Raw genomic sequence first — 13,563 nt, forward strand, 5'->3', positions numbered from 1 at the left:
TAGGAAATGCATTTCTTCTGTTTTGCTTGTGTGGATAATTACTTTAGAGTAACTTATGATCTTTTCCCATGAGCTTAGTGTCAATTTCCTGGAGGCATATAATTTTATATAAATTTACCTGTTTGCCCTGTCTATAAATTGAGGATGAACTGATAAAAAAAAAATACATCTGAGTGACTATGGATGGGTTTGTGTGGGAGTGTGTGAGGATGGGAGAAACTTCCATGATTCATTAAGATATATTATGGTCATAGTAAAGGCTCATTTTAAAATTTTTTGATTTCTTTTTAAATTTTGCGTGTTATCCAAACATGTTAGAGGATTTCATTTTAAAGAAAGTACTGAAAATATTTGCCCAAATTAATATTTGTGTTCTACTTTTTTTCTCTTATAGTTTCTCAAATTTACTATATTTGTGTTACTAGAGTTTTTAGATTTTTATTCTGATTATGGCTTATGATTATCCACCAGATGTTTAAGTATTTTACCTTTTGCTATTATTTATGAGAGAAAAAAATGGACTGTAAGCTCCCTGTGGTACAATTTTCTGTTCAGAAGAAATGGAAAAGTTTGGTGGCATTCATTTTCTAGCTCATGGTCTTTTCCCATTTTCGATTATCTGGTGATCACTTACTATTTGCTCTAAACTTCAGACTAATGCTGGACAATGAAGAAGAATGCCTGTGACCTCATGGAGCTCACATCTGGATGGGAAAACAGTGCTATTGGTTTCACCACTAAAATTTTCCGTAATATTTCTTTGTTACCATTTTAAGATCGATAGGATATTTTATTATCTAATCTTTTTTCCACTTCACATCTTTTATTTCCCCGTTTTTCTGTGATGTTTCCATACTGATTGTAAATGACTCCACAAGTGTGTGCATGAATTCCCTTAAGCTCCTCTGCTTCCCATCATCCAGGCCTGCTGATTGGTATGAGTTCAGTATTGTCAAGTGTTCCCCATCTGCTTTTTGTCAGTCGCTATTTTTGCAAAGTCTTCCTTCTCTCTAATTATACAAATATGTCTTTTTCATTTTTCTTGTCAAAGACAAATTAAAAAGAATTAGTTCAGTTTCTTAGCTAGTTTAGTCTTCATTAATTCCAAACCCCACTCCATTTTTAGCACCATTTTTCTTTTCCTAGTCTTTGTCCCGCTTTTTGGTAATTTTAAAAGCTCCTCTTCTCTTGTCTGACTTATTTAAGTAGCATGAATTAATTTGCTACCTCTGACTCTTTTCTATAAGTTTTAGCTAACTCTAACAAGATACTTTTTCACTCTTCTCCATATTTAGTTCAGATCTGTCTTTGTCTGTAGATCTTTGAAGAGTCATTTGTGAAACTACATTAGGTGTTTCTTGTTCATTATCATTTTCCCCAAGAGGAATTTTAATCCTATGTGTGTTAATTATTTAATTATCCTAATGATGTCTCATATGGTACCCCTGGCCTCTTGCACACTGATGGAATTAATCCCTTATCCCAGGGCTCCTCAGAGTTCCTGATTCTTTAATGTTTGTACATTTATATTTAAATAGTTCTTATATTAGTTTTTAAGTAACTTTCCCCTGGTTTTTCCTTGCCATCTTGATTTTGTCTCTTATTTCTCTAATGCCCTATGTTCTTTCGATTTAAATATTATGACATTAGTTTCTTCCTTTCTGTTGCCTCCAATGGGGGTTGTTATTATCTAATATACTCTGGTTTCAAGCTTTAATAGCCATGAGAATCGTCTGGAATGCTTGTTAAAAGTCCAGATTTCTGAGTCTTAGCCCAGAAATTCTAATTCATTTGGTTTGTGAAGAGCCTAGATATGAAGAGCCAAACATCCCAAGTTTTAATGAGGTGGTCTACTGAGGCAGTCCACTATGACTACCACCTGCTAACTGCCATCCTTTATCTTAAACGCAGCAGCCAGATTTTTCATCTCAGAACATTTATAAAATGCCTGCTCTCTGTAAGGCACTGTGTTGGGCACTCAGAATATCACAGTGAGCAAACTGGACATTGTTCCTGATCTTGCAGTGCTTATAGTATGTTGAATTGTTTTCCTTATCTCAAAAACTTGATTACCTGTTGCTTACAGATGACAGTAGGTCAGTTCATTAGTATATTTTGCTGAGGTGCTGATAGAACATAAGAACAATGACTGGGAATCAGGAAATTTGACTTACAGGTTTGGTTTTACTTCTGCCTCTGTACACGTGTGTGTTTGCCTATGTATGTATATGTATGTGTGTGTTTCACTTGTAAAATGAAGGAGATTGGGTTGGATTACCACTGTTCCTTTCAGTCAGTATTTGAACCTCGGTTTTGGTTTCCATCTTCAAGATGTTATAGTTGTTTAAAGGAAATATACCATATTTCATCAGTTCTTTTTTTTTTTTTTTTTTTTTGAGATGGAGTCTCGCTGTCTCGCCAGGCTGGAGTGCAGTGGGGCGATCTCGGCTTACTGCAACCTCCGCCTCCTGGGTTCAAGTAATTCTCCTGCCTCAGCCTCCCAAGTAGCTGGGATTACAGGCCCCCGCCACCACGCCCAGCTAATTTTTGTATTTTTAGTAGAGACGGGGTTTCATCATGTTGGCCAGGATGGTCTGGATCTCTTGACTTCATGATCTGCCTGTCTCAGCCTCCCAAAGTGCTGGGGCTACAGGTGTGAGCCACCGCACCCAGCCCATATTTCATCAGTTCTAATGTATCATCACTTATCAGACCCCTCCCAACTTCAGAGATGTTAAAATGTGAAATAATATGTATCATATATCCATGAAGTATAGTGTACGTATTTATGTGTGAGTGTGTTTGTATTTGTGAGGATAATGATACCACACAAAGCTACCTTCTGACTACTGACACATGGTTACTTGGGACCAAAAAAGCTGTATCACTGGTCTGACACTCCTGAAAGACTCAGGATTTATTAAGAAACATAAAGCCTGTAACACAAAAGAAGCAAAGATGTAGGAGGAGATTATCAGTCTCTCAGCCCAGATGACCCTTCCCATGTTTTCCCTGGACCTGCCTCACTGTTGAATTGTGTAATGTGTAGAGATTCCTAACAATGAAGCCATCAGGGAGACTATAACTCATTGGGTAACTCTTCCATCTATCACTCAGCTCTGACATCTCCAAGAAACCAAACTCAGATGAGCACATTGCTTATTGTGAGTTATAGCTTCTTTATTTTTTACTTTTTAATTCAATATATTCATTTAAAGGCATTAAAAAAATAAATTTAGTGATTACATTGAATAATCACTTACTGGCAACCCTCTCCCACCCCCACAGGGACACACAGTTTAACCATTTCTGAGTCAAGGCCTTGCATAGGTAACATTAACTACTGTTTACACTCTTCAGGAAGTTGTCATAGTTCTTGAACACTACAATGGCTTTCTTATTTCTCTTCATGTTTTCACTGGATCTGAGTCTTCCTGGGAGGGACAGTGACTTATTCAGGGATTCAGAGGAAAGTAAGGTACTGGAATCAATTCTGCATTTTTGTAAAAGCTCTCATTCTGTTATTTTTCCCACCTTTATCTCCACCCCCACCCCCCCATTACCTATTCAATTCTGTCTTCCTTCCAAGTACTTTTAGCCTTAGAATTAACTTCTCATGCTACAGTTGGTCATCAGTGTTCATGATGTGACTGGAAATGTCAGAGACATTTGAACCAGAGCAACTCCATCTTGGGTAAGGGCTGGGTAAAATAAGGCTCAGACTTACTGGGCTGCATTTCCAGGTGGTTTTAAGTCACAGGATGTGATCAGAGGTCAGCACAAGATACAGGTCATAAAGACCTTGTTGATAAAATAGGTTGCAGTAAAGAAGCTGGGCAAACCCACTAAAACCAAGATGGCAATGGGAGTGACCTCTGGTGGTCCTCACTGCTACACTCCCACCAGCAATGTGACAGTTTACAAATGCCATGGCAATGCATTCTAACTTCCATAGAGGAAGTTACCCTATGTGGAAGTTACCCTAAAAAGGGGAGAGATGAATAATCTACCCCTTGTTTAGCATATAATCAAGAAATAACCATGGAAGTGGGTAGCTATCAGCCCTTGGGGCAGCTCTGTGGAGTAGCCATTCTTTTTATTCCTTTACTTTCTTAATAAAACTTGCTTTCACTTTACTCTGTGGACTCACCCTGAATTATTTCTTGTGTGAGATCCAAGAACCCTCTCTTGGATGTGGATCAGGACCCCTTTCTGGTAACAGAAATATTTTAGTACTATTGGGAGATTTTGGCTGAGGTCTTCTATTTCAGAAGTTTTAACATCAATAGCCAGTGGCAAATGCTAAATAAATGATACAGACTGTAAGTACCAGGGGAGTTACAGGAAAGTAGAGATCACTGAGTTGTTGGAAAATGCTTCAAGACGGGAGAGATATTTACAGCAAGTAAGATTTGGAGAAGTAGTACCAGAAAGAGAGTTAGGAAGGTACACGGAATATGTGGAAGGAAGGAATGTAATGAAGGGACTAGCAGAAGGTAGGTTGGGACTGGCTCATAGAGGGCCTAGAAATTCCATCTGAAGATTTTCAGTTGCATATTTTATGGAGCAAGGGTTTCTAATTGTCTTTTTGCCTTGTTTTTGAGACATAGTCTCACTCTGTCACCCAGTCTGGAGAGCAGTGGTGCAGTCTCGGCTTACTGCAGTCTCTGTCTCCCAGGTTCAAGTGATTCTCATGCCTCAGCCTCCCGAGTACCTGGGATTACAGATGTGTGCCACCATGCCTGGCTAATTTTTGTATTTTTTTCTGTAGAGATGTGGTTTCACCATGTGGCCAGGCTGGTCTTGAGCTCCTGGCATCAAGCAATTCACCCACCTCGGCCTCCCAAAGTGCTGGGATTACAGGCATGAGCCAATGTGTGCCACCGTGCTCCGCCTCTAGTTATCTTGAAGAGGCATTTATCACTTCCTCTAAGGTTCCAGTCATCTTCTAAGATATATGGCTTGCAAATGATACAGTGGGGCTAATTTTGACTCACACTGTTAAGCCTGTGTGTTTGTGTGTGGGGGGTGTGTGTGTGTATGTGTGCATGCACATACACGCACACATACCTATGTAAATACAACATCCCTGCTGGTGCTTATTCCTGAGATGGGATTCCTTGAGCAGAGTTGGGGACAGTGCATTGCTGCTGGCTGGGTTCTCCTCCAGTGAACAATCCTGGAAGACTGTGAAATGAAATTCTGACCACTTGGTCATTCAGATCTACCAGTAACTAATGATTGACCCACTTACAAGGCTTGCCATAAACAATGGCAAACCATTAGAGGTTTTTTGGTTAGCTTATTTTTTTGTGTATTATGTTTGTTTTCATGTATGTTTTTTAATACCTGCCATTGATGGTTTGAAATTATTGTTTTAGAAAGGATATACTGGGCATAGCTGGTGAATTGGAGGTGATAAAAACTTAAGTCAAATTAAAAAGACCCTTTTGAAAGCCTAGCGTGAAGTGAGGGGAACAGAATAAGGACAATGAGAATAGAAAGAGGTGGTTATTAGACAGTAGAAAGGATGAATTACAGAATGATTGGTGGGATAATTTATTCATTTATTAAACATTTATTGAAATTTATTACACTGTGGAGATTTAAAGCTGAAAAAGTTGGACTCCACTTCAGAGAGCCCCCAAGAGCGGGCAGTCTGACAAGTTAAGTAGTGATGGTATGCTGTGCTTAAGGATGAAGCAGGCTGAAACACCCTCGAGGCATGAAGTGATGCCTCAGGCTAGTGGGGATGGGGAATGGACAAGAGAAGAGCTTGTGGGGTGGTATTTGAGCCTATTTATAAGCAAAAAGAAAGAACCTAGTAGAGAAAAAGAGATTTACATATGATCTGGGAGAGAGAAGGGATGATTAATAAAGTGAGTTATGGAGGAGGTGGGAGTAGATGGATTTTGACCACAAGGAGAAGGGATTTGAAGGAATCGAAGATTTGCTGGATACTGAAGAAAGGAATGAATCAAAGATGACCAAGGAATCAGTTTTGTGTGTTTTGTGTGACTGAAAGAATGGTGGTCCCATTTGTAATAAAGAGAAGATGAATCTGTTTTTAAATACATTTGAGTTTGAGATAATGGGAGTCCAATAGGAGGCTTGTACTGAAGGTTGATAAGGTTGACCTGTGAAAGATGAGGGTGAACACCATTGATTACAGAGGAGTGTAATGACAATGTAATCTACAATACAAAGTGCCTCTCTGCAGGACTTGGGTGTTTGTGAAGTAGTGGAGTGAGAAGCCCCAGTTGCTGTGACGGGAGCCAGGGAGTGAGATTTACAACAGTTTATTTCCCTGTAGGGGTGGTGTTATAGCTGCTTTTTCTTCACATCTTCTTCCGTAGTCGCATTTGTCCAGGATCTCAGGCACAGGCATGGTTGTGGAGGCTAGACCTCACATGGGTAATAGAAGCACTATCAGACACAGAAATGTCCTTTTCAAGGCTGGGGTTGGGTTCCGAGGAGACCCTAGCAGGAGAGGCCCAGGGCAAGGGGAAAGATGAACAGTTGACACACCTGCCTCTTGGTAAAGTCTCTTGCGCAGTACAGAATGTGGGCCCATCTCTGCTTTCTCCACCAGAGAGCAACTGGATAGCCTTGGATGGAGTCAGAAATCAGCCTGTAGATCTGTGAAATGCCTAATAGTTGTCCCTGAGTCTATTGTCACTTCAGTCTGGTGGTAGAAACTCAAATACCAAAAACTCCTCAGTGACCTTCCCCATGGTCAAGCACCAGGGTGTAGAATCCAGCAGATGCTTTGGGTGAGTGTTTGTCTCTGCAGCTCTACAGATTCACTTCCATGCAGGTTGTCTTGACCTCCTGGGGGCATCAGTGGGTGGTGTGAGTGGCCTTTATCAAAGGTTCTCCCATTTTCCTGGCTGTGATGAGGAGTCAGAATTAGTTACAGTATCTAAGGACCCCAGAGCTCCATCTTTCTCTCTCAAAGTTATATTCCCAGAAAGGTCATTTGGGAAACACCCCCTCTCAAAGGGGCATGTAGTGCTTAAGTGTTGGCTTCTATACACAAAAAGCTCAAACTGTATAAGAAGCACCTGTGTTGGAAGATGATGCCCAGATGAGGAAAGCTTGGAGTGTGGCCTTTATTTTGGCCATTATGCCAGGCAGGACCAGGGACAACTGACAGACCGCAGGAACTATGTAGTTCAGGGAATTAGGAGCATTTCCTATTCTCTTGGGTCAGGAGACCTGTGTGTACTGATATCCTGGCCCAAAAGGTATGCTGAAAACCAGGTCCTCATAAGAGTGGAGTGTAGCTCACTTTCTGATTGTGCATAGCCATGGGTTCAGTCTGAGTGTTTCTTCAGGAGAAGCCAAATTATAAAGTCAGCCTAGCTGACCAGAGGAATTTCAGTCCAAAGGGGCAAGAGAGATTCTGAATGAGAGCCAGCAGAATGGACCAAGGAGACCAGCAAATGAAGAATCAGAGCACAGGGTAGCAAGTGGGGCTTGGCGTTTTCTCCAGGCTCTTTATTCTTCCTGAATCTCCCTCCTTCCATATGCATCAATTTGGACATATACTTAGCTAGGTGGAGACTAACATTTATTGAGGATTGACTTTGTAACAGGTAACGTTTTATGTGTTGGGGCCACAGCAGTGAACAAGATAGAACAAGATAGACAGTCTTACAACCCCCTGCTTCCTGCCCCACGGAGCTTATGTCTTAGTGGGCATGTGGAGACGGTAAACTACACACATAGGGTAATTCCTTACTGATGACTTCCTATGAAAAAGATACAATTAGAGAAACAGCACTGTAGGGTGTGATTTGTTCTGGAGGTGTTAAAGCTAGGGTGGTCAGCAAGCCTTCTTTGAAGAGATGGCATTTGGGTTGAGTCCTGAGTGAGGAGAAGAAGAGTGCCACATTAAGATTGAGGGAACGGAGAAGAAAATTGGGTCTTGTATTTTGGCTATGTTAAATGTGGGATGCCTGTGGGACATGAGATCATGAGCAGGTTGGTCGGTGGTGTCAGCTTGTCGGTGTTCAGGTCAGAGGTCTGGGATGACAGATTGCAGGGCCTTACCAGATAGATTGTATTTTAAAGTCACAGGACTGGATGAGATGGCGTTTTCACACTTTTTTGGAGCTCTTTTTAATCATGTATATTTGCCTAGAGATTAACAACACGTAAGATTCTTATTTTAAATAGAACAGATTTTTTGTTGAATGAGGCAGAACTTTGGGGGCATGAATATGATTTTGTGTGTGTATGTTTTTTTCATGTTTCTGGACCGTATGTGTACTGATTGACAAGTTCCTCCTGTCATGTACTTGATGGCTAAAAGACAGCAATTCTCAAAGTTTTCAGCTTCTATCCTGACAAATTGAAAATTTTCTGAACTCATTATAGAATCTACTCAAGTGTACATATGCAGTCATAGGTTTCTGATCTTCAGATTTATTAAGAGTCCCTGAAATCTTTCTTAGTAAATATTGTATTTGAAAGAGATGGCTGGAACGTGTGTCAAGTGCTTTATAGTTAACACACATCTGAGGTTCCAAAACCTGTGTGAGGTAGGAAGATGTTGTACTCTTTCCTTTGCAGTTGTGTAGGGTAGGACTTTGGAATATAAAATGACTCTGACGGGAAAACACAACTCAAAATTGTTAGGACCAATCTTAGAATCCAAGGCTTTGATTCATATGCCAGCGTCTTTCCACTACTTCAGTGGTTCTCAGCCTTGGCCCCATGTTAGATTCATCTTGGGAAGTTACAAAATAAAATAAAACAAAAAGCCCAGCAATTGTGCTTCCACCTCAGAGGCCTGGACAGTTACTACAAACAAACAAACAAACAAACAAACAAATAAATCAACCTCTCCTGGTAATTCTAATGTGCAGCAGTAGCTGTGAGTCTCTGCCCTATTCCACATTGCCTTACCAGGAGCTGCGTTATCTGGTGTGTTGTTACCCTGTAATCCCAGCAGTTTGGAAGGCGGAGGTGGGAGGATTGCTTGAGCCCAGGAGTTTAAGAACAGCCTGGGCAACATAGCAAGACCCCATCTCTACAAAAAATACACAGAAAAATTAGCCAGGCATGGTGGCGCATGCCTGCAGTCCCAGCTACTCAAAAGTCTGAGGTGGGAGACTCAACTGAGCCCAGAAGGTCGAGATTGTAGTGAGCCGAGATTATAATACTGCACTTCAGCCTGGGTGACAGAACGGAACCCTGTCTTAAAAAAAAAAAAAAAAGATGACTGAGCCAACCAGGATACTTCTAATGACCTTGTTAAGGAAGATCTCTTTTCTTTCTTTAAGTCTCAAGCAGAGTCCTTCCTCTTTCTTGTGACTGTTTCTCTTTCTGGTTGTGAGTTTGCAGGTATCCCACATTCTTTCTCTGGTATCAGTATTCTCTGTGCTTGTACATGAGACCAGTGAAGCTGGACTAACCCCTTTATTTCCACAGCCTAATTTAATTACAACCAAAACCTCTCAATAAAACTGTTTTCTTATTTACGAGGGAGACTTTATTCCATTTTTTGGATTGAGAGAGATGCTTTTTATTTTTCGCCCTACTCTGTGCTGTAAAATTATCTCTGGAGATTTAATTGTGTTTTTGAATGGTTATTCCTAGTTTTTAACGCAGGGCTGTCTGTAAAATGAAGATAGCTTCTTCTCTAGTTTGCTCACTGTTAGCTAGTGAAAACATGCCAGCTTATAACTTGGCAAGATTACTCTGAGCTACTCAGGGCACGGTCCTCAGTCCAGCGACCTGTCTGCTCACTATTACCCGTCCTTGATGAAATAAGTACAGAAATCGAGATGAAGCCATTAGAAACTCCTAGTGATTTGGAAAACGTAACTTTAGATTTTGTTCATCTTTGTCTTTTTAAAAAATATACTTTTAATGTTTTATAAAGTATCAAAAACTGATAATCCTCATAGGTAATTTCAGAAGCCATGGACTGGATCTCTGAATCCAGTAGTCACTGAGAGGACTAATAACTACCGCTGCTTTTTTCACGAGTAGAAATAATATTCTTGATTTGCAACTATTTTGAGGATGTAGGGTAACACAGTGTAAGTGGTAAATTTCAAGTTCTGGCACTGGGCATTAGCCTAGAGCTTAGCTTTAATCTACAATATGCATTTCTCAACCTGCTTCTGATACTTTGCCACCTGTCCTCTCTAGGCTGCAGTTTACATTTACAGATGTTTCTATAAACCTTTGAAGACTCAGGAACATTTTGGTTGGTTTTTAACCATAAGTGAAATAATAAAGGGGATAGATTTCAGTTTGCTTTGGCAGCTTTAGTTTTCAGTTTTGAGTGATTCTGACCAAGTCAACTCCACAGTTCATCATTTTATAGTCACTTGTATTTTGGCTGTACACCAGTATGTTCTATAAAATACATCATTTTCTAAAGTACATTGAGGCATGAAAACATCAGTGTTAATCCTTTTCTGTTACACATTGTTTTAGGCAATCAAAGACTTCTGCTTGCTTTTTCCTAACTAGGATATATAGATCTTCTTACATATGAGAAATGAACATTGCTTCACTCTCTTGTCTTCTGTAGAGTCTACCAGGCAAGTGCTCCACTCTGTTTTTGTATATTATTATTCTTACTGTAAGAATAATGCATGCTTATTATAGAAAATTTGGAAAATACAGAAAAATGAAAGAGGAGATTTAACTTTTTTATATTCCTAGTACTTAGAGAGTTCACATTTTTATGTATTTCCTTCTTCAAATTTTGCTTCATTAAAAATTATAAAATTTTCAACATATTGGGAGTACAAAATTCTATGTGCTTATTTAAATAAGCTTTTTTCTGTTTATCAATAAATGTAGATATGTATATTATAAAAATATTAAGAAAATAGAGAAAACTTATAAAGAAGATTTAAAAATCACCCAGAATCCTTTATCCCAGGGATAATTTTTAACCTTCATTTATATTTACTTACTTTTTTTATTGGATTCATATCATAATTATTTTTAAGTGTACCTAATACAGGCATTGTCACAGGTTATGGATGAGAGAAGAGTTAATAAAAAAACTAATGACTCAAGTCATTCAGTTTGAGTTTCAAAGATGTGAAAAATTATTTCTGAAGTTCCTAAGCAAAAAATGTCTATTATGTTGTGATATGTAATTCTTCCCTTTAGAGAGAAAGATGTACTTTTTATTTAGTAGTTGTCATGGAATATTGTCCCAAATGTGTTTAAAATAGTTGAGCCACTATTAGTAAAGAAAGAACAACACTGCTGTTGTCTTGGGTGTTCAACTAAAATATTGTGACTGTGGGTTAAAAAGTGGCTCTAGGTGAGGGACAGAGCAGGAAAAAGCACAGTGTAGTGAAGCATTTCTGGGTCTCCTTTTGCCCTTGGGCTGTGGAGTGTGCCCCACTGCACTCAGTCTAGTTAGATAACTAATACTGGAGCTGGGAAACCCCACCAGTCCTATATATTGTGACTTCCTTATGCTTTGAATTCTAATTTTTACTCATTCTTCATATGTCTTTTTTTTTTGAGACATGGTCTTGCTCTGTCACCCAGACTGGAATACAGTGGTGCGATCATGGCTTACTGCAGCCTTGACCTCCTGGGCTTAAGCAATCCTCTCACCTCAGCTACCTTAGCAGCTAGGACCACAGACACACACCACCATGCCTGTCTAATTTTTAATTAATTTATTTATTTTTGTAGAGACAGGGTCTCACTATGTTGCCCAGGCTGGTCTCAAACTCCTGGCCTCAAGTGATCTTGCCACTTCACCCATCCCCAAGTGCTGTGGTTATAGGCATGAGGCACCATGCCCAACCTAGAGCAGGTCTTAAGCCTCTTTCCTCCGCTTATGGTGGATAGAGTTGTATCACCCCAAAAGTTATGTTCAAATCCTGGCGTCTGGTATATGTGAATGTGACCTCATTTAGAGATAGGGTCTTTGCAGATGCAGTCAAATTAAGGTGAGGTCATACTGAATTAAATTGGGTCCCAATCTAATGATTAGTGACCTTATAGGAAGATGGAAATTTAGGCCAGGCGTGGTGGCTCACACCTGTAATCCCAGCTCTTTGGGAGGCCGAGGTGGGTGGATCACTTGAGGTCAAGAGTTCGAGACCAGCCTGGCCAACATGGTGAAACCCCATCTCTACTAAAAATACAAAAATTATCTGGGTGTGGTGGCACATGCCTGTAATCCCAGCTATTCAGTAGGAGGCTGAGGCATTAGAATCGCTTGAATCTGGGAGGTGGAGTTTGCAGTGAGCTGAGATCACACCAGTGCACTCCAGCCTGGGTGACAGTGAGACTCTGTCTCAAAAATAAATAAATAAATAAAAAGAATATGGGAATTTGGTTACAGAGAAGACACACAAGGAATGCCATGTAATGATGGAGGCAGAGATTAGAGTAAAACTTGTACATGCCGTAGAACGCCAAGGATTGCTGGCTACCACCAGAAGCTAGGAAAAGGCAAGGAAGACTCCTCCCCTAGAGACCCCAGAGGGAGGGTGACTCTGCCAACACCTTGATTTAAGATCTGCAGCTTCTAGAACTGCAAGAGAATACATTTCTATTGTTTTAAGCCACCCAGTATGTGGTCATTTGTTACTGTAGCCCTGGGAAACTAACACACCTCTCAAGAACACCTATGTTCTGAACTGTCTCAAGTTTTTTTCTGAGCTTTCTTAAATGCAAGGATAATTTCTTTTAATACACTGTTTTTTCTTTAAAAATCTATCAACATTGCTCCTTAGTCTTCTCACATTTAGTGTTACAGGAAGTATATAGCTATCGTGATTTTTGTTCTTTTTGTAAGTTCCTTATTCTATCTGTATCTAGATAAGTGTTATTTCATTGTTTTCCCTGGAAAATGCGGTAAACTCTTTTGTCTTACTCATGGTGTTTTTTTCTGTAAAGCAAGAAAATACATTTGTGTGTGTGTGTGTGTGTGTGTGTGTACATCTCTTTTTACAAACATTATTTCTGTAATACTTGGATTGAATCCCTGTTCTGAAATTTTTATGTCTATCATCTCTCCTCCAGCTTTTCAATCTTTATTATTGCTGTTTTTCCCATCTATATTTGGGAGTATTTCTCAATTTGTTTTTTGCATCTCTGATTTTATTTTATGGAATATCAATTGTTAGTATCCTAGTTCCTTTATTATGGCTTTCTCTTCTGAAGTTGCAGCATTTTAACCTTCCTTACAATTCTTCTCTTTCCCTTGTCCCCTCTTTAAAAAAAATCTTATCCTGGTATCTTTTCCTTCCAGCCTGTTTTCTCTTTAAAGATTTCTTTTACTGTTGCAAGAAGCTATGTGTTCTTGTGTGCTACTGAGGATGCCAGGATTTACTGAAAATTTTTTGTTTCTAGTTTTTGGGTTATTATTATTTTTTTTTTGAGACAGAGTCTTGCCCTGTTGCCCAGGCTGGAGCACAGTGCAGCTCACTGCAGTCTCAAACTCTTCGGCTCAAGCAATCCTCCTGCCTCAGGCTCCTTGAGTAGTTGGGACTACAGGGGTGTGTCACCACACCCATTTAATTTTTATTTTTTGTAGAGATGGGGTTTTGCTTTCTTGCC

At 39.7% G+C, this 13,563-nt stretch overlaps 1 protein-coding gene across 11 annotated transcripts in view, besides 1 other annotated feature; it reads left to right on the forward strand.

Annotated features, from left to right (window-relative positions):
• The window catches only part of EXOC4 (exocyst complex component 4), an 847,874-nt gene that overhangs the window by 183,730 nt on the left and 650,581 nt on the right, over positions 1-13,563 (forward strand). The window lies entirely within an intron of this gene.
• Positions 5,621-5,805: a silencer, noted in NCBI's record as "fragment chr7:133127182-133127366 (GRCh37/hg19 assembly coordinates)". NCBI's record gives its function as "represses an EF-1alpha promoter that drives an FKBP-Casp9 reporter gene in an ReSE screen in K562 erythroleukemia cells {active_cell/tissue: K562}" and the evidence as "EXISTENCE:reporter gene assay evidence [ECO:0000049][PMID:32094911]".

This window comes from Homo sapiens, chromosome 7 (genome assembly GCF_000001405.40).
Source record: "Homo sapiens chromosome 7, GRCh38.p14 Primary Assembly".
NCBI lineage: Eukaryota > Metazoa > Chordata > Mammalia > Primates > Hominidae > Homo > Homo sapiens.